The 19,864-nt window shown below is 51.1% G+C and overlaps 1 protein-coding gene, 2 long non-coding RNA genes and 1 other non-coding gene across 7 annotated transcripts in view, besides 6 other annotated features; 3 read left to right on the top strand and 1 right to left on the bottom strand.

Annotated features, from left to right (window-relative positions):
- Positions 487-1,415: an enhancer, noted in NCBI's record as "OCT4-NANOG-H3K27ac-H3K4me1 hESC enhancer chr1:63795855-63796783 (GRCh37/hg19 assembly coordinates)". NCBI's record gives its function as "activates a minimal SCP1, AML or CMV promoter by ChIP-STARR-seq in naive H9 embryonic stem cells {active_cell/tissue: H9 hESC(naive)}" and the evidence as "EXISTENCE:reporter gene assay evidence [ECO:0000049][PMID:30033119]".
- Positions 4,117-4,985: an enhancer, noted in NCBI's record as "H3K4me1 hESC enhancer chr1:63792285-63793153 (GRCh37/hg19 assembly coordinates)". NCBI's record gives its function as "activates a minimal SCP1, AML or CMV promoter by ChIP-STARR-seq in naive H9 embryonic stem cells {active_cell/tissue: H9 hESC(naive)}" and the evidence as "EXISTENCE:reporter gene assay evidence [ECO:0000049][PMID:30033119]".
- MIR6068 (microRNA 6068) lies at positions 4,615-4,674 on the top strand. The gene has a single exon (NR_106716.1). It is a non-coding gene; the product is annotated as a microRNA 6068 (primary transcript).
- On the bottom strand, positions 6,471-9,032 carry FOXD3 (forkhead box D3). Its single transcript, NM_012183.3, has one exon. It carries the CDS (start codon positions 8,538-8,540, stop codon positions 7,104-7,106), a length of 1,437 nt encoding a protein of 478 aa, NP_036315.1. The 5' UTR covers positions 8,541-9,032; the 3' UTR covers positions 6,471-7,103.
- FOXD3-AS1 (FOXD3 antisense RNA 1) lies at positions 7,158-10,715 on the top strand. 4 transcript variants are annotated; one of them, NR_121634.1, is made up of 4 exons: positions 9,141-9,283; positions 9,519-9,934; positions 10,136-10,232; positions 10,409-10,715. It is a non-coding gene; the product is annotated as an FOXD3 antisense RNA 1 (long non-coding RNA). The 4 variants fall into 4 exon arrangements; NR_121637.1 differs by lacking the exons at positions 9,141-9,283; positions 9,519-9,934 and adding an exon at positions 7,158-7,244; NR_121636.1 differs by lacking the exons at positions 9,141-9,283; positions 9,519-9,934 and adding an exon at positions 7,924-8,108.
- Positions 7,902-8,591: an enhancer, noted in NCBI's record as "H3K27ac-H3K4me1 hESC enhancer chr1:63788679-63789368 (GRCh37/hg19 assembly coordinates)". NCBI's record gives its function as "activates a minimal SCP1, AML or CMV promoter by ChIP-STARR-seq in naive and primed H9 embryonic stem cells {active_cell/tissue: H9 hESC(naive and primed)}" and the evidence as "EXISTENCE:reporter gene assay evidence [ECO:0000049][PMID:30033119]".
- Positions 8,915-8,994: a silencer, noted in NCBI's record as "silent region_949". NCBI's record gives its function as "represses an Ori minimal core promoter by ATAC-STARR-seq in GM12878 lymphoblastoid cells {active_cell/tissue: GM12878}" and the evidence as "EXISTENCE:reporter gene assay evidence [ECO:0000049][PMID:35858748]".
- Positions 9,115-9,424: a silencer, noted in NCBI's record as "silent region_948". NCBI's record gives its function as "represses an Ori minimal core promoter by ATAC-STARR-seq in GM12878 lymphoblastoid cells {active_cell/tissue: GM12878}" and the evidence as "EXISTENCE:reporter gene assay evidence [ECO:0000049][PMID:35858748]".
- Positions 14,017-14,196: a silencer, noted in NCBI's record as "silent region_947". NCBI's record gives its function as "represses an Ori minimal core promoter by ATAC-STARR-seq in GM12878 lymphoblastoid cells {active_cell/tissue: GM12878}" and the evidence as "EXISTENCE:reporter gene assay evidence [ECO:0000049][PMID:35858748]".
- Positions 14,342-19,864, top strand: part of LINC00466 (long intergenic non-protein coding RNA 466) — a 158,175-nt gene continuing 152,652 nt past the window's right edge. The window contains exons 1-2 of the long non-coding RNA NR_038252.3: positions 14,342-14,541; positions 15,512-15,650. This is a non-coding gene — a long non-coding RNA (long intergenic non-protein coding RNA 466). The remainder of the gene's footprint in view (positions 14,542-15,511; positions 15,651-19,864) is intronic.

Here is a 19,864-nt window from a genome sequence, read left to right as displayed (position 1 = left end):
CTGAACCCAAGGCTCTCCAAGTGGGTCTCAAAAGGAGGCCTGTGGACCATCCTGGATTGTGTGTAATGAATACAGAATCCAGAGGCTTTCTCAAAACTTTAGCTTTTGCTCAGTTTCCCCCCAACAAATAGTAGTTTTAATGTGGGAGCTAAAGCACAGTGAATTATTTGTGTTTCTAGATAAAGAAACCCAACACATGGAAATACGACCATCTTTCATATGAAAATCTGAGCAAATGACTCTCAAATCCACTATCCTTTACTAAGGAAATAAAGGAGTTCTAGAAAAGAAAGACCCTTGAACAAATAACGATGCCCCTAAGTGGAATGGATTGTTTTGTGAGGTAGTGGTTCCTCTTCCTCTTCCACTGGAAAAATTGAAACAGATGCTGGCTGAAAACCGAGGTGTTCTGAAGAGGTTTCTACATTAGGGTGGGAGGTGGAACCAGCTACTGGTATTTCAGGCTGGGAGAAGTTTTCAACTAATTTCACAATGACTGAGAAAACATGCCAGAAAAATACATAGTTGACGGGTCTTACGCTTTTTAGACCTCTAATAAAGACTTAAAATTCATTCACTTAAAAAAATTAAGTGTTTATAAAAAGCATTCATTATAAAGAAGGAAAGAAATGGGAAGAAAACAGTTCCCCAAACTCTTGAGAAAGACTTGATTTGATAAGTTAACAGCCTTCAAGATCCCCTATCCCCGCTCCCGTGGTGCGAAGCTGTTATTCATCAGACAAATAATTTAGATCGTCCCCTTTGTGCTCAGCAATGCTAGACGGTCAGGAACTCACCAGGAACTCAGAGGGCAACACTAATGACAATGGCTCATTAATTGGCACGGTGAGCTTCAAGAAGGAGCAACTGGTCTGGGCAGGGAGGCTCAGGAAGGCTTCGCGGAGGAGACGCTGCATCCCAGGGGTACCTCGAGAGCAAACAGAACATTTGGAGTTTAGGGTTGTTCTGGGGCTGACAAGAGAGCTCCCTGTGAACCTAGGCATGCGCCCCTTGCAGAAAGGGGTAACGGGCTTTTTTGGAGAAAATTGAGTCTTGCTTACTATCTGTTGAGAGGAAAGTGGGAGGGATGCAGGGAGGAAAAGAACCAAAGCTCTCCCCTTCAATAAGACGTGCACCGCAGCTCCGGTCCCTGGACCCCGGGAAGGAGCATGGCAAACGCGGAGTCCGCAGAGGCGGAAGCGGCGGGGCCGGGGATGGCGGAGAGTGTGCTTCTCGCTGCCGGTTCGCGGCCTGGGGTGGGGGGCACTCCAGTCCATCCCCCAGCCCGGATGGGTCGCCGGGGTCCTCGTGCTAGGGCTGTGGCTTAATTAAACCGTGGTAAACTTGCCCCTATTTCCCCCAGAGATCCCAGGCTGGGTCCTCTCGGCCTCCCAGGTTCACTCTGAGGGGATTTATTTTCCGTCGCGAGCCTCCCATGAGCGGGCAACTGAGTAGCCGCGGGACGGGGACGGGAGCAGAGGTCCCACCGCGCGCCCCGCTGCACGCCCAGCTCCGCGGCGGGTGCCTTTCACACCTGGGTTTCCTTCGTAATTAATTCGTATTCTCTTCTCCCTTCCCTCCCTCCAGGCAGGGGCAGCTGGAGTCCCGCAGGCCGAGCCCTCGAGGTTGGCACGGGGGTGATCTCGGCGTGGGCAGGGGGTTGGGGGCTCCCTTGGGGACCGATCCCCGACACGACAGCACTGTGGTTGGGCCGCTGGGCGAGGGGAGCTTCGGGCCTGCAGTTGCCGCCTTCTTTCTTCCCTCCCACATCACGAGGCAAGAAGGAAATGGGGCCGTCGGTCCCCGCAGAACCACTCATCGCCGGGCTAGAGGCGCCCAGGCAGCGGGGAGCCCCAGGGTCCAGGTCCACAGCCTTCCCGGAGCTGAGTTCCACCGGCCCGGCGCGTCTGTGTCTGTCTTTCCCTTCTCCTCTCAACCCTCCCCAATCTTCCTTGCCCCAGAGTCTGCTGTTTTTGTTTCCTCAAGTGGCGCCTTCTTGCTGGGTAAAGCACACTTTTTCCTCCTCCGAGTACTTCCATAGCTTGCACTTGGGCTGCTGAGTGACCCTGGGTAAGTCCCAGAACCTTCTGGGTGGGCCTGTGTGAAAAGAGGGCCTCCAGGGTGACCCCGGAGGCCACTTCTAATGCCGATATTCTAGGACTGTTTTTCTGAAGACGGGTTCGGAATTCAGCACCAGAGGACTCAGGCAAGAGAGTGAAGGTGTCCCTCTTCTTCCCCGCCTCACCCCTGATGGGATGGAGCTGTGTGCAAAAGCACAAATGATCTGGAGAAGAGCCTTAGGTAGCAGTTTTATGTTAAAATGGGGGAGGGGACCAATTTAATTCTGCATTTAGGAAAATTCTAATATATGACGGCACTTCGGGAAATAAAAATGAGATGGTTATGCTTTCTTACAGACACCCTGGCTAGTTTTACATTTCTTTTCAAATTTTGTTTTGTGTACCCCAGGGAGCAAAGAATGGCTTGTACATTCCTCAGAGGGCAAGGAGGGGGAGTGGCGAAGAGAGAAGTTGGCTCTGGGTGTAACTCTGCCAACTGTTGGAGGGCAGCAAGGGGAGGGTGGTCTTTTAAGTGAGTTTGGGATCTGGTTACCTTTAATTCGCCTCCCAGGCCGCATCTTGCACTAATGGGAGTCTGTCAGCGGTGGACTCAGATTTCCCCACTTGCCTCGGATAGTGGAAGCATAGGGGCAAACAGCAGAGTAGGCCGCTCTGCCAGAGAGAAGAGAGACGTATGCCCTGCCCCTGGAGCTGGGGGTGCAGGCTGAAGGATGGGTGGGCACCGAGAGCTTCTCCGCAGGCATAGTGAAAGGCCTACAGACCAGGAGGAAGCTCCACCTTTTAAAAGCCTCTTCTGGGGTGGGAGTTTCCTGGGATGGGTTCTGCAACCCCTCTTAGAAAAATCCACCTTTCATACCTAAAATCAAATGGTTCAGAACCGAGCCAATGTATTTGGCCGTGTACCAGTGCTTAGAACAGAGTTGTTTCTTCGTGCAGAAGCCATTAAAAAACACACTGTACACGCCCCCAGCACTTTACAGTTTATAAGACATTTTTCACTGACACCAACTCACCTAATTCTGTAAGCCCAGGTGACAGGCAGACTCATTCTCACTGTAGGGTCGAGGAAATGCAGTCATTGAAAGAAACCAAGCAGCTTGTCCAAAGTCACAGTTAGGAAATGCCTAATCCCTGTTGGAACGCCTTCTGCAAGGCCTTTCTCATCCCGCTTCTTCCTGTCGCCTCCTCCCTTGAAACAGACGGCTCCCCACAAGGTTCAGCCTGGCACTTTCAGAATGCCCTTCCAACCTCCTCCCTTCACTACTTTATTCTGCAGCTTGTACCACCGGGGACACAGGTGGAGTCCGGGGACACAAGGCTCTGGAACCCACTTTCTTTCAGATCACATACCCCTCAGGACAGTTTCTCAAGGGACTCACGTTAAAAATACCCACCTCTCACACACTCATGTCAGCCTTTCATGTTCTCACTACCAAGACTCACCCTATAAACCATGTGAAATAAATAACCTCAAATATAACTCTTAATTGCTTCCAAGTCAATGTTTCCTCATCACTAAACTTTATTGCCTCCCAATCTTTAGGACAAACTCCCCTCGGGACTCTGTTCCTCCCAGGACACAGGCGGGGGAAAGGAGGAAATCAGCTTCTCGAGATTCGACCTAGGCTTCCGGGGCCTGAGAATAAGCAAGGATGTCAGGAGGCTCAGAGCCTGGGAGGGAAGGAGAGGCGTCCGGGGCTGGGGCTGGACCATTCCAGACAAACCGCGAAGTTTTCCGTCTGCTCGTCGCCCCCTACAGGCCACATCTGCCATCGCATCGACAGCCCTCAACAGCCGGCACATGTTTTGCTCTACTCTTCATTCGCCTTTCCCCGGACATCCAGATCCACCCCTCCGAGGAACTAGATACGGGCGGTCCCAACTCAGACCTTGGTCCTGAGAACGCTCTAGGGGCCACAGGCCTCAGGGCTGGATTGATTTTTCTAGGAATGAGTGCTAGAGAAAGTAGAAACGTCTAAATGCGTGTGTAGCCGAAAGCTAAAATCTTCCCCATAAAAATCAACCCGCTTTCTTCTTTTATTGCAAATAAATCTGCCCCCCTTCCTTTAGTTTTTTTTTCTTAAGTGGAATAAAAAGTGGATATCAGTAGTGTTGACTTTAAATCTCAACGAGAGAGCTGTTTCCAGTGCCGTTTGTCGCAGGTGCCTGCGTTCCATAACATCAAACAAGGGTTTCAGGCTTCCCCCAGCCCCACCACTAAGTGCTTGCGATCATTGTCTATGATATTTGCATTTCCCATTTTGTGCTAAATCTTCGAGGTTTAAAAAGCTTAAACGAAAAAGAGCTTTTGAGGGTGCGACGGCCGGGCCCATCTTCCTGACATCTGCCAGGACTTTAAACAACCGCTGGCAGCTTGAGGGTCTGGGTCCGAGAGTTTCCTGCCTTCCACGACATAAAGGAAGGGGACCATCTTTAGGCCGTCGTTCAAGGGTAAGAACTGGCTGGAAGGAAAGTTGCCGGCAGGTCTCTCCCGTTCACCCCGCCGCCTAATGAATGTAGCGCTGGAAAAAGCCCTGCGAGTCTCCGGCGGTGGCTTGTGGCTGAGTGTCACGCTGCTGGCGCAGGCTCGGCCGGTATTGCTGCTATGCGCGGAAATATGAGCGAGTAATTTTATAAGTAACAAAGGATCAGGGATGGAATGAGGCCCCTGTTATCCAATGTCATTTAGAAGCCTTGGATCAGCAGCTTCTTGAGGCTAAAAGTGAATTCAAGAAGCCCTGCCTTTCCCTTTTCCCAGGGGCTGTCAGCTAAATTTAGAAATAACCTCTCTATGTGTTTGCACAAATCATGTACCATTTGCTGTTTGTGTAAAAACCGATTAGCCAGACACAACTGTGAAACAACTTGTTACTTTTATAGCTGCAACACACAAACAAAATTAGATCCGTTTAGTTTTCCTTGTAAAAGGAGATTAGAAGGGACCCGCCCGGAGACCGTGTGGTCCATAATCTCCTCTCGGTGAAGGTTACCATTGCTCCTCTCTCGGCGGTGGTTATCAGGTTCTTGTTTATCAAGTTAAACTATCTCACCCCCGGCAGCTTGTTTTATTTTAGGACCCTGATCCCGAAGGAATGTTTACTCAAGACACAATAATGTTTACCGTTTACCAGGAAAACAGATTGGGTATTTGCAAGGAAGTGTCTTTCAAAGCGACCCCCAGCCCACGTCGACAGCGGAGAAATGAGGTGGGATCCGAGACGGGGAGGCATCTCCACCACCAGGGAGGCAAAGTGGACGACAACACCGGGGACTGGCCGGGATTAACCAAAAGGACGCGCGCAGGGCCGAGCCGACAGCACTGCTACTCGCTCCAGTTTTTAAAAGCGATTTCGCACAAGTAATTGTAACAGCTAAATTAATTACAAAATAATTAGAATTGATGCCTTTTGAGGATATGCTGATGGTGGTGAGAACCAGCCTTCCACATCAAGATGTTTCATTTCTACCTTCATACTTTCTTTTAAAAGTTTTTAACAGCTGAAATGCAAATTAAAAATAATCTACAAGGACCTTCCCCATTCCTGCCCTATGATGTCGCATTTCACACTAACCTAGCCTAAGGTAAAGAAAAAAAAGGGGAGAGAGGTGATGTTCAGCTGTTTTTAAAAGGGTATTAAGGCCACCATTCCTTGGCCTTCAGAAAGGCTTTGGGTTGGAGGGAGAGGAAGCATCTATAGGACCCCTTCAGAAATCCAATTATGTTGTGGATTGATTATTGCCATATAAATGAGATATCTTATTTGAAAATATTATGAAAACAAAACTATGTATTATCTATCAGATGAACATAAATAAAATCCCACTGCAAAATGTAAAGTGCCTTAACATAAATTTTAAAACCAGCTGGGTCTATTTACCACTTCCACTTAAGGAATGAAAAGAAATAATTTCAAAAATCTAAGATTTAAATGTTAAAAAGAGGGATGTTTGGAATTTACTTACTTTTCAAAGGATAATTGAAATGACCAAGAACTCTCTCATTTGGGAAGTTTTCATTGTGGAAGATACAAGTCTAGTCATTTTTTAAAAAAATTTAAAGACTGCTGTTGTTTCGGTTTCTTTTTTTAAATGACAGCTTACTTTATCTACAGAAATGTCTGGTCATTTAGATTTAATGGGTTGATATGAATGATATCACTCACATCCTGATTTTATGTGAAAACTAAAAGAAAAATAGTAACACAATTTAAATTAGGCATACTATTTCCTTTCTCCAATTAAAATTTTCTTACACTCAAATTATGAATTTAAAAAGTTTGAAAAGGCCATTACTTGAAATTCCTTGATTTTCTGGGGAGGAGAAAAGGCAAATAAATACCATTTAAAAATCTTGCCATTTACTTCAGACAACTAAATAAAACACTAGGCTGGGCATTTTAAAAATTTATTTACAAAGTTGTGTACAACACGATGGAATAACATTTAGAATACCATATATATTCATTCATATATAAACAGACTTTTATAATAGAATGACACTTTTTGCCTTTTTGAAAATTTTTTATATTTAAAATCTCCCAACGTCTCTATACATTCTTTTCTCAGATAAAACTTCGGAGAGTGAACCTTCAAAAAAAATGAAAGTTCAGAGCTCTAAATCTACGGAATTTGTTTTTTCTTAAAAAAATAAAAACCCCAAAAGGAAAGTCAATAATTTTTTTACAAATATATACAAAGAATTTCCCTCCCATCCCCACGGTACTAAGAGCAGGCGCCGTCGGGGTGCATTTTTGGAAAATTCGGTTTTCGGTTTTACCTGTATGGAAAGCTATCCCCGGCGGGCGCGCGGTGAGTTTGCTCGACCAGCTTAGGTGTGCGCGAGGGGATGGAGGCCGCGGAAGGTAGGCGTTGGGGGCTCAGGGGAAAGGAAATTGGGGAGAGGCAGAGTCCAGGATTGGGCAGCGGGACCGGGACCGGGCTTGGGACAGGGCGCGCAGCCTGGAGGTGCATTTGTTGCTCGAGGCCGCCGCCGGACCCTGGGTCCCGGCCATTGGCGCGTCCCTATTGCGCCGGCCATTTGGCTTGAGCGGCGGCCGCAGCAGCGGCGGCGGCCGAGGCTGCGGGCTGCAGAAACTGTCCGGAGAGTGGCACGCTAAGAATGGGCGCGATGGTGGCAGTCGTCCGGCTCAGCGACAGCGGTTGGTGGGTGGCCATGAGCGCTGCCGACTGCACGGTCCCGGGTGGCCGCAGAAACGACTGCGCCGTGCTGCCGCCCCCTGAACCCCCAGTGCCGCCGGCGACCCCAGCGCCCACCGCCGAGCCCCCAGGAGCCGCGGGGCCCCCACCTATGATGTTCTCGATGCTGAACGACGGCCGCGCGCTTGGCTCGGACTTGATGAGCGACGCGGTGGTGCCCGCGGCGCCCGCTGTGCCCGCAGCGGCCGCGGCGGCGCCCAGGCTATTGAGCTGCAGCTGCAGGCCCGGGCCGAGCTGTGAGCCGAAGGCGGCCGCTTTGCGGCCCAGCTCGCCCGAGGGCAGCAGCGGCACAGCGGGAGGCAGCACCGGTGCCACCGGCGGCAGCGCGTACGGGTACTGGAGCGCCGCCGCAGCAGCCGCGGCCGCCGCCGCTGCCGGGTGCGAATAGGCACCGGCCGCCGCCGCAGGGTGCAGGCCGTAGGGGCGGCCGTAGGGTCCCGCGGCGCCGGCCGCCGCCGCCAGGCTGTAAGCGCCGAAGCTCTGCATCATGAGCGCCGTCTGCTCGCGCAGGTGCTCCTGCTGGTGGCGCTTGAAGCGTTTCCGGCGCCGCAGGAAGCTGCCGTTGTCGAACATGTCCTCGGACTGCGGGTCCAGGGTCCAGTAGTTGCCCTTGCCCGGGTTGCCCGGCTCGCGGGGGATCTTGACGAAGCAGTCGTTGAGTGAGAGGTTGTGGCGGATGCTGTTCTGCCAGGCGGGGAACTTCTCCCTGTAGTAGGGGAAGCGGTTGCTGATGAACTCGCAGATGCCGCTCAGGGTCAGCTTCTTCTGCGGGCTCTGCAGGATGGCCATGGTGATGAGCGCGATGTACGAGTAAGGCGGCTTCACTAGGCTGTTCTTGGGCTTGCTCGGGGCCAGGCCTCCCGCCGAACCGCTGCCCGCGCCAGGCCCGCCGCCGCTCGCGCCGCCCTCCTCGCCGCCAACACCGCCCTTGCAGCCGTCCGCCTCCGGCGCGCCCACGTCGCCCCCCGGTCCGGCCCCGGCTCCGGCCGCCTCCTTGGGCAATGTCAGGGGCTGCTGGTGGGGCGGCTGAGGCTGTCCGTGATGGGGTGCCGCCGGGGGCACCTCGTCCGCCTCGTCCAGGCGCAGCTCCGGCGGCCCCGCGGGGCTATCGCAACCTGCGTCGCTGTCCTTCTCTTCCAGCCCGTCGTCGCCCTCGCCCACCACATCGATGTCCACGTCCTCGGCCGTCAGCACCGTCTGGCCGGACATGTCGCTGGCGCTGCCGCCGCCGGAGAGGGTCATCCCTCCTCGGGGTTGGTAGCGGCGGCGGGGAGGGGGCAGCGGGCGATGAGGGTGTTCGGGGGCTGCCACGGAGCTCAGGGGAAGAGGGTTTGAGTGCCCCCGAAAGATGGGGGGCAGGGAGAGGGGAGGGGGCCGCAGGTGGCTTGGGGCCCGCTGGGCTCAGCTCACACTCGGCGGCCCCGCATCGCGTGGCGCGGGCTCTGCCGTCCGCCCCCAGCGGCCGCGCTCCGCGAACTCCTGCCGTCCCTGGCGCTCGGTACTAGGCGCTCGCTACCGCTCCCGGCCCCGGCGGTTCTCCACGCCGCGCCCCCTCACTTAGCCCGCCTTCCTCGGCCTCTGGCCCTGGCGTGGGGCGCAGGAGCGGTCCAGGCGGGCGCGGGACGCCGGGCGCCGAGCAGCTCGGGAGGGCGCGGGCAGGGACAGTAGCGGGGGGGCAGGGGGCTGGGTGTCAGGGACGCCGAAGCCCCGGTAGTCGAAAGTCCCGTTTTAAGGACTGGCCTGATAGATTACTTTCTACTTAAAGATCCAGCGGGAGGCGGGGCCACGTGACCGTGCGTGACGTCAGGGCCGCGGCCGAGCCGGCCAAACTCAAGTTGGTTCAGGGAATTGTCAACAAAGGGACGAGAGACGCGCAACTCCGCTCCGCACTGTGCGCCAGCATCCCCGGGGCACGGAGGGCGCTGCGGCCCGCCCGGAGACCCCCCCACCCAGGCTGGATCCGGGCCCTGGGGCCCAGGGAGCGGGTGGGTGTGAGTGTGGGTGGGTGTGAGCGAGTCAGGGCGTGGGCCTGGGAGCGTCCGCGGGACTGTGCGACTGTCGCTGCCCTGCCTTCCCCGCCCCCTCTCCCTTCCGCCCTTCTCCCCCCCACTTTGTCACACTCCTTAGACAGGGACTGGGCGACCTAGAACGAGGTTCCCATATCGTGTTTTAAAAAGCAAAACTTAGTCTCTGTTTTGCTTTTTGTTTCATTGTTTTTAGCTTTAAAGAGTAAGAGCAGCGCACCCGGCTCCCTCCTGCTAATTAGATTTCAGATTCCCCTCTGGCCTCAGTGCTCATTCCGGGGAAGACACCTGCTGAGATGTCTTTTTCCCCCTCCCCCAACCAAACCACTCAGGTCCTACCTGCTCTTTCCCGGCTTGATGCGGGCGTGTTTTCCTGTATGTATTTTTTCGTGCGGCCACAAAAAGCATCAGCTGGGGTTCCCGAAGGTCAGAAAATGGCTATTGATTAATCTACTAGAATAGTTGCCGAGAGAAATAAAAACGACGTAAAATAGCAGGGAACCTATAAATAAAGAAGCCATAACTGGCTACTTGGAGTTGTTAAACGACTTAGCATATGAAAAAATCGGAAATGAGGCGCTGGGGAAGGAGCTGGGATTGGCAGCGGCCTGGGTAAGTCGAGTGGATCCGGGAAGAGGCCTGGTGTCTTCAGGTTAGACGCAGCGCCCAGGGGCGGCTGAAGAAACGTGAGGGGTGCGGGCAGTGACTTCCCGGGCGGCGGGCATGGCCTTGGGGGAACCTGGGCAGACTTGGGCATGCCAGCATGCTGGGATCTCCGTTGCTGCCAGCTAACGTGGATTTTCTTCTCTTAAGGTGTGGACAAATCCTCCAAGATTTAACTTCCAAGAAAACCGGCGGCGGAGCGGGTGGAGGAGGCGAGGATGTGTGGCCAATGCACGCGGAGTGCAAGGCAAGTCAGTGATAGTAGGAAAAACTGTGGGGATTTCACTGGGACTGGAGGGGGAGGCACCGCAAACCGACCCCCAAGTGCGTGGCTGGGGTGCGTGGACCTCACACCTCCAAGGAAAGTCAGTGCTCTTGACGCGGTGAATCAGCGATGCGCCTCCTCTTTCCTCCCTCATTTAGGCCGCCTAGTTGGGAGCCGCAAGAGCCTGCCTGGTGTGGCAGGCACACGGAACCCAATCCCTGTCTGTCCGCTGCGGCCTGGGAGGGGAGCGCCGGCCTCACCAGAGGAAGGAGCACGAGGGGAGGAGTTCCGAGAGGAAATAATTAGTGAAATATTTGCAGAAGATGCTGGGATGTGGATTTAATTCCGGATGGACAGTGGTGCTTCTGATTCCCTCAGTCTGTTTCCCCACCCACGATCTCCTCTTTCCTTGGCCTAGACACACCAAAAATAATTCAATAAAATAAAAATAAAAATTTAAAAATCTGTAAACTTGCTTCATTACAGGCATTGAGACACACAGATTGACTTTCATCCCCATTAGACAGTTTCCCAGGATATAACACTACTCATCTGAGGCTGGGAGCAGGGTAGGGGGTGGTGACACTATCCTGAGACGCCCGCCAACCTCCACAGTTTTTCTTTATCTAAATGATCCCGAGGTTGCACACGGCCCTAAAACGCATCTCAGAGTTGATTTCCGTAGCTCCACAGCTTTGTGGCCCGCAGGCTCCGAACCGTTTACAATGCCGTCTAGACAGCTTTCCGCGAAACCGACCCGAGCTGAGCTGGCTGGCCATCGCCCAGGACTGCAGAGGTCGCGTCTGCAACTGCCTCAGCAACCGAAGTGTCGGAAGGTCCAAAAAAAAAAAAAAAAAAAGCTAAAAAGCGGAAATTTACACATTCAGGAACCTCCTTTGCTCTGCTTGGGTTGCCCAGCCCTAAAGGCAGGGGCCCGGGGCGCAGCGCTGGCCCTGCCGCGGCCTTGGTGGCTGGGCCCGCGTGGACTAGTATGTGTGGATGCGCGCCGGAGGATGGTGGCTACAGGGCTCCCCTCACCGGTCTCGAAGTAGTCTCCAAATGAGCCTAATTTCGATTCCGCCGTCCGCAGAGGCTAGCTCTCTGGACTCCCTCCACGCTGCTGGTCGCTGCCTCCTACCCTCCCTCTGCCACGGCCCAGCCTGATCCGTCCATTCCCCGGTGTCTCCTTGGAACCTCCCTGGGGAAGGGGGTGGAGGACGAACAACTCCCAGCTGCCGGTTCCATTTGTTGCGCTTTTTTCCTTCGACACAATAAAAGTCAAATTAATTGATTCATACCATTAATTACGGCGCGTAGCGTGAAAAGCAACGCTTCCCCTCGGTTAGAGATCTATTGTGCTAATCTCTTGTTCAATCAGTGTTACCATCTGATGCTGGGTCCGGCCCTTACAGAAACTTTTCGACTCGATTAGCTAAATGATGAGACGTGCACAACCTACTGGCTGCGGCCCCGACGTCCCGCGCCCGCGCCGGCCTAATATCGATTTCCAGCGGAGGCAGAGGATTTTTCCGCGGCCGCTCTCGGCTCAGGAACCGGCCGCCGGCTTTCTCCCTCCAGGCGGACCATAGCGCCTGCACAACCTCCGGGGGCGGGAAGGAGGCGAAGCGGCGGCCGGGGAGGGCGACAGGAAGGTTCCTGCTGGCCTTGACGCAGGAGGCCGCCCCAGCGGAAGGGTCCGATCCCGACGCGGTGCAGGGTCCTGCCGGAGACCGGCTAGATGTCGGGCTAAATAAATTGTTTGCCGCGTAGTTGCAGTTTGCAGCTAAAAGCTCACAGGTCGTCAGTTACCGCCAAGCTGTAGGACAGAGACGGAAGAAGCGAGACAGATACAGAGAGAAAGTGAGACACATGTAGTGGGGGGAAGAAAATGTGATAAAGGGTGTATGTGGATAAAAAGTTTCTGAGTCTCAAAGGGTTATTGGAGAGATAGAGGGAGAATGAGTAGACACACACACGCAATTATGAGTTTGAGTGACTCTTTGAGTCTCAACAAGCGAACTTCCCAGGAGAGATTTAAAAAGGAAGATGGCAGCCAGCTGCCTCACCTGCTCAAATGTTTGAAATGTTTCAACCAAAGGAGAATGGAATGAAACCCCTTCGGTTCCTCTGGAGCGGGCAGAGTACATGGTACCCCGCTGGGAAAGCCACCTGGACGCGGTGGGAATGAGGGGTGCGGGGAGTGGGGATCTAGGTTCTAGCAACAGGAGGCAAGAAGAATGGAGTCCGGATCGATAGGAAGGAAATTGAGACGTCTCCAGGGGAGGGGAGATTTAGTGTGTGCGTCCAGTGGGGGGATGGGGGGGAAGAAATGGATAGAAAAATTTATGATGGAGAAAGGGAAATTAATTACAGCTCATTTTGGGTTCTTAGGTGGTCAACACTGGAGGAGGGGCACGGTTAGAGTGCGGAAGGCGGGAATTGCCCACCTACCCCTCACCAGGCCCAAGTGAACCCATATGCCTCTTTTCTCCTCTTTTAAGTCAGAGACAGTGCCAGTGGCTTGAATAAGTCGTTGGCGCGATGTGAGATAGAATCATCATGCCCGCGCGCGGGTGCACTTTTCTTACAATACGGGGAGTTGGGACCAGGTTCCGCGGAGTGAAGGGCGCGTCCCCCACCAAGAGTAGTTACTCTTTGTCCAAGAGGGAGCAAAACGTGGGTGGGACTATTAGAAAAATTCCCCTCCTTTCTCCCCAACACCCCCGCGCCCGCAACAATCAAAGTCTGCTGCTTCTTGAAAATCTTCATAGATTTGTTAAACTATTACCGGCCTCTTTGTCTGGATGGCCGCCACCAAGGAAGGTGGGAAAGGGCAGAGGTGGTACCCAAGGCCCCAACCCACCCAGATTACTTCCATTTCCCAAAGCGGGGGATTTTCAACTCTCTTACCCACCACTACCCCCTTGTATACCTCTCCGGATCTTTTCGGGGTGGAAAAAAAGAGGCTATTTTAATGTTCTTGTTTGGATTTGCATCTCAAAACTTCATTTATTTTCAAGATGTCTGCCACTCAGGGTCCACGCCAAGGCGTGCCTGTAAATGGCGAGAGACCAAAAGGAAAGGAGGAGAGAAAGAGGAAGAGAGAGAGGATGGTTTCGAATTTATTTATATTGGAAATATATAAACATCCATTCTGTAAAAGGCAACACGTTTAATTAACGATGAGAGAGCAGTTAGGGGCAGAAAGCTAGTAAAATTGTGTGATAAATTTATGGCATTGTTAGCGTGCTTTTAATTATGGCTATTATGTTAATTATTTCACATTAGCATGGAGTTATCAGCAGCATGTCGGATTTAATAAAAACGAGCCTTTCTCTCGAAAATTGTTCTTTTCATCCACGAGGAGAAAGGTCCTGGACAGGATCGGGGCTTAAAAATGACTTGGCATTGAAAGCCGGAGTCTTTCTGACACCGTTTGGAGCGATGCGGCCAGGCCCGGCTGTCCGCTGGGTCCCTCCAGGCTACCGGCAGCTCGAGGAGGAGCCCAGGGCTGGGTTTTTAGGAATTCACCATTTTCACCCCCTTCGGAGCCGACACTTCATCATGCGAGATCATTCTGTCAAACAATATGATGCTGCTCATTTTTATCTGTCCCGCTTTACAAAATCCCCATTCAGCCGGCCGAGGAGCAACAAAAGCCTCTGAGCAGCTCCGCAGCCACTGGCGGCCACAGCCTCCCCGGCGCGCGAGAAAGGCGAGAGGGGCCGAGGAAAGCAGGCGGCGGGCGCGCGCCCCTCTCCGCCGGAGGGAACGCTGCCTGCCGGGGCCTGCCAGCCCAGGTGTCGGGTCCTCGGGTGTGGCCCGGGCGGGACACGCCTCCCTCAGGCCCGCGCCCGCCCTCGGCCTCCCTGCAGGCGCCGGGCGAAAGCCCCCAATCCCTCCCCTCAAGCGACTCGCCCACCCAGGCCACATCGATTCTTTAATCACCGCCGATCGATTTATTGGGAGCAAATAAATAGACCGTTTTGGAAACGTTTCAATTGCTGGCTTGACGGTTGGGGCGCTGACGCGGGAGGGCGGGCAGGGCCGTGGGGCGCGCGCGGGAAGGGACTTGTGGGAAGGAAGGGAGCGGAAAGGCCGAGCGCCACCCGCCCCGGGAGTCTCCAGAGCAGCGCGCGGGGCAGACCTCCTCGGGTCCTCCGGCGCTTCGGTCTCCGGAGACGCCCGGCCTCCTGAAGGGTTCGGCTTGTCCTCCTCTGGCGCTCAGCTCCCTCTGGCGGCCGGGCTGGCAGGACCTCAGCGCCCAGCCCTTCCGTCTTGTTACGTCCAGGCAAGTTGGCCTGGCTTTCGGATGCCTCTGGACAGTCCCCGTCCAGGCCCGCGACCCAGCCCGAATGGAGGCCCCGGGGCCCACAGAGCGCGGCCTCCCAGGCCTTCCAGCCCTGGCTGCGGACGCCGCAGCCTTCTCGCCCCTGGGCCGGACGCGGCCTTCCTGCCCAAGACCACTGGGGCCCCCGCCCCTCCCGGGACAGGGCTGTGGACAGGCCAGCTGCTGCCTTATTTTTAGCGCCATTCCATTCGCGCGGTTATATTTAACTCGACCCACTCCTCCGAGGAGGTCGCTCGGACATCGAATTCTCCACATCGCAGCTTGGGCCTGCCCGCCTTGCCTCAGGGGTAGTTCCTCAAGGGACAGATTGGAAAACCCCTGCTTAAGAATCCTTGACATATCTGGAGCTTGGAGAGGACGGGACTGGGGGAGAGATCTGGTTCTAGGGGCAGTGGCCACCGCGCCTGCAGTGCACTGCGTGGGGATTCCGCCTTGTGTGGGGCGGGGGAGGGGAGGAAGGGACAGGATCAGTCCTGTGGGAAGGATTCTCTGCGGGGAGTATTGTGTCCATTTCCTACTTCTGCATGACTCAGAACACTAGGTGACCTGGAAGACCTCTCACGACCCTGCCCTTGGAAAAGTTTATCATTTAGCGTGAGTGCAGGAATCCCCTCTTCTCTACCCTCCAGTGCACCCAACGGGATATTTGATTTCAATGGTATGTTAGCTCCTTAGTTCCAGCCCAGTCTTCCCTTGGCAAAATCTTAAAAAGACCATGCCAAAGGCTCACTCACATCCTGGGGAAAGGACCCACTTGGATAACATACGGAAACACCATTGTGATACACGCTTTATTCACACAGAATGTCAGTTAGCAAACAATGCAGAAGTCATGTACTAAAGGTACACTAACAGATGTGACATGGATCGCGGATATCGAAACACATTTTTTTGTTTTTCTTTGAGACAGGGTCTCACTCTGTGTCTCAGGCTGGAGTACAGTGGTGCAATTGTAGATGGCTGCAGCCCTCGACCTCCTGGGCTCAAGTGATCCTCCTGCCTTAGCCTCTCGAGTAGCTGGGAGTACAGATGCACACCACCACACCCAGGTAATTTTTTATTTTTATTTTTTGTAGAGATGGGATCTCGCTCTGTTGCCCAGGCTAGTCTCAAGCTCTTGGCCTCAAACGATCCTCCCACCTCAGCCTCTCAAAGTGCTGGGATTAAAGGTGTGAACCATCCTGCCAGGCCAAAACACATTTTAAAAATTTAAATTCTTCTAACATTTTTAAAGAAACAAGTTTTCCTTGGGTCAAAGCTGCCTTTTTTGGTAACTCTCATTTTAATCCAAAATTTCTTGGATTTAAGTCATACCCACAGCTGAATTCAGGGGGAGAGGATATATAAGTATACAATATATATTTATTTACTCATTTATTCCTTATTAGTAATTTATTGAACTGTTGTAGACCTGGAAAGTACCAGGAATGAAAAGAAGAATTAAACCCAAGGTTCCTTAAGGAAGAACCAGGCAAGAGAATCAGTGTTTGTCATGCAGGTTGATAGGTGCCATGGCAAGGGGAAACAGCGCAGAGGAGGGCCTTTCTCACTGGGTAGGGATAGAGAAAGTGTGAAGCCTTCAATACGGAAGATGCTACTGACCAGCTACCTCTGACTTTAGGGGTTTTCAGGGGAGATTGGGGAGAAGTAAGTTAGAACCCGGGATACTTTGGGAAAAGAAAGTGCTAAGTTGGATGCCTAATGGTACTTCTGGACAGCCAGAAAGTACTTGGTCTCAAGGGAAATGGACAATAGATGTATGATAAGGAAACAGAAAGGGATGGAAGAAGAGAGAAGGGAAATGTAAAAATTGAAATTTGCTTAGACATTTTGTCTAGGTATAGTACATTTAGACTACATGGAAGTATTTGACTAACAAACACATGGAAGAAATTTAAAAGGGAACGTAGATAAAGGAAAAGATCCTTTGAAAAGAAAATATTCAAAAGGCTAGTTGTTAGACCCAGCTGTTTTTCTAACCTTATCGTATTCATCAAGGGCCAGACACTGGAACCACAAAGGTGAGTAAGAAGATAGATTCCACCTTTAGAATGTTAATTCCAGAAGGGCAGGAATTTTTATCTGTTCACTGTTGTATCCCTAGCCTCCAGCCAAGTACTAGTGGTGTAGGGGTGGAGGTGTGGCTCAATAAATATTGCTTGAATAACCCGATCAGTAAGACACATTCTCACTCTAATGGGGGACTTATTCAGGGAAGTCCATAGCTAAAATGTAGTGTGATGAGTTATAAATATATGATAGAATGTTACAGGAGCGCAAAAGAAACATAACTAACTCTGCCTGGGAAAGAGAATAGGTGGGTAGGAAGGTTTCCCTAAGAAATAATACTTGAACTGTCCGGCGCGGTGGCTCACGCTTGTAATCCCAGCACTTTAGGAGGCCGAGGCGGGCGGGTCACGAGGTCAGGAGATCGAGACCACAGTGAAACCCCGTCTCTACTGAAAATACAAAAAATTAGCCGGGCGTGGTGGCCGGCGCCTGTAGTCCCAGCTATTCGGGAGGCTGAGGCAGGAGAATGGCGTGAACCCGGGGGGCGGAGCTTGCAGTGAGCAGAGATTGCCCCAATGCACTCCAGCCTGGGCTACAGAGCGAGACTCCGTCTCAAAAAAAAAAAAGGAAATAATATTTGAGCTGTTGTGAATGATAAGCAGCAGTTAGGTAAAGAAAAAGAGGAACAGAGTTCTGGGAAAAGAAAGAGAACACAGCACGAGTAAAGACACAGATTTATGCAAGACACGAGGAGCAGCATATAGTTTGGTTTAACTGAAATGAGATAAGGGAATGGCCAGAGTAAAATAATAAAGACTCTTGAATACTGGGCTGAAGAGCCCAAAGTTATTAAGAAGCCAGTAAAGTCTTTAACTGATTGGCATGATTGAAATAAAATTTTGGAACTATTCTTTGCGGGAATGTGAAGGATAAACTGAGGGAGTAAAAGACTGGAGATAGCAAGGAGGCTATTTCGTTATCTTAGTAAGAGATGAAGAAGGTATGATTTAAATTATTGGCAGTGAGACTGGAGAAGAGGAGATGATGATGACTTTGAGAGGACTGAAGAAGTAAAATGGATGGAACTAAGTGTCTGATTGCTAAGGGAGAAAGATTTCACAGTAACTCCCAGATATGAAATTTGCATGTCTAGAAGAAATGGTGTTATCATCAATTGAGGAGACTACAGATGGAGAAACACTCTCTAGTCCCTTGTTCCTCAGTCATAGACATGACTACTCAAATTATTTCCTTAAATGTCAGTTGGAGCACGCCAGTCACTCCTCTGATCAAAAACATTTAATGCACATTGAGCATGATGGCTCATGCCTGTAATTCCAGCACTTTGGGAGGCTGAGGCAGGAGGATCGCTTGAGCCAGCAGTTTGAGACCAATCTGGAAAACATAACAAGACCCTGTCTCTACAAAAAAGTAAAAAGTTAGCTGGGCATGGTGGTGCATGCTCATGGTCCCAGCTACTTGGGAGGCTGAGGCAAGAGGCTTGATTGAGCCCAGGAGGTTGAGGCTGTAGTGATCTATGATCCTGCCACTGCACTTTAGCCTGAGAGATAGAGACCTTGTCTCATACAAAACAAAACAAAAGCAAAACTGTTTAATGCTACCTCATTGCTTGTAGAAGAAAACCCAAACCCTTTAGTAAGATACTTCAGGTGTGCCATAATCTGGCTCCAATATACCTTCTAGTTTCCTTTGCACTCCATGCCCCTGACCTATGGGACTATAATGCATTTCCAGGACACACTGTGGCCTCCGTCCTTTACCAGTTATATGACCTTGGGTAAGTTCCTTAAACTCTCTGTGCCTCATATCCTTACTTGTAAAATGGAGATAATGGCATCTTCCTTATGGGGTTTTTGTAAGGATTAAGGACATCCAAATCACTTAGAATAGAGTTGGCACATAGTTAAGGATCACTCAAAAAATTTTCTTAATTGATTGTAATGCTTTTCCCTGTTTTTTTATTTTTTATTTATTTTTATTTTAATTTTATTAAGAGACATAGTCCCAGCCTTCTAGGAATTTTCAGTTTACTTGTGAAGAGTAAGAGAGGCAGATGTTGTAAGCCCTTGAAGGTAGAGACTGAGAGGCTTAGATTTTTTCTTTTTTCTTTTTTTTTTTCCTGAAAGTGACTATTACAGAATTTTGAGCAGGGAAGTGATGTAACTGGATATGTGTTTTAGCAATATCACTGTATCATCAGTGTGGACAATGGGCTGAAAGGGGGAAGATGAGTTTAGTTTTACACATACTGAATTTGAGGTGCTAGTGGAATTTCTAAGTAGAGATAATTAGTAGGAGGTAAGGAGCCATGTATGTACTTTTAAATTTCTAATACCCACATTTTAAAAAGTAAACAGATGGGTACAAAATATATTTAGAAAGAATGAGTAAGACAGTATTTGACAGCACAACAGGGTGACCATAGTCAATAATAACTTAATTGTACATTTAGAAATAACTAAAAGAGGCTGGGTGCGGTGGCTCACGCCTGTAATCCCAGCACTTTGGGAAGCCAAGGTGGGCAGATCATCTGAGGTCAGGAGTTTGAGACCAGCCTGGCCAACATGGTGAAACCCCTTCTCTACTAAAAATACAAAAATTAGTCAGGTGTGGTGGTGCGTGTCTGTAGCCCCAGCTACTCAGGAGGCTGAGGCGGGAGAATCACCGGGACCCCGGAGGTGGAGGTTGCAGTGAACCAAGATCATGCCACTGCATGCCAGCCTAGGTGACAGAGCCAGACTCTGTCTCAAAACAAAACAAAACAAAAAAACAAAACTAAAAGAGTACAATTGGATTGTTTGTAACACAAAGGATAAATGCTTGACGGGAAGGATACCCCATTTACCATGATGTGATTGTTGTGTATCGCATGCCTGTATCAAAGTATCTCATATACCCCATAAATATATACAACTACTATGTACCCACAAAAGTTTTTTTAAAAAACTAAACAGAAACACATAAAGTTGATTTTTTCTAATGTTATGCCATTAACCTAAGTAAAATTGATTTTAATGATACATTTTATTTAACCCAAAAATATTTATTTTTATTATACCTAAAAATATTAATATTTCAGCATGTAATCCATATAAAATTTAAGATTTTTTCTTTTTTTCTTTTTTTTTTTTTTTTGAGACGGAGTCTCGCTCTGTCTGTCGCCCAGGCTGAAGTCCAGTGGCACGATCTCAGCTCACTGCAAACTCTGCCTCCCAGGTTCACGCCATTCTCC

This window comes from Homo sapiens, chromosome 1, assembly GCF_000001405.40.
Source record: "Homo sapiens chromosome 1, GRCh38.p14 Primary Assembly".
Lineage (NCBI taxonomy): Eukaryota > Metazoa > Chordata > Mammalia > Primates > Hominidae > Homo > Homo sapiens.
Note: the sequence above shows the minus strand (reverse complement) of the source record. Positions and strands in the feature narration are given on the sequence as shown.

Excerpts from the sequence above, each read along its gene's own strand:
- FOXD3 (NM_012183.3), bottom strand. The coding sequence starts at position 8,540 with ATGACCCTCTCCGGCGGCGGCAGCGCCAGCGACATGTCCGGCCAGACG.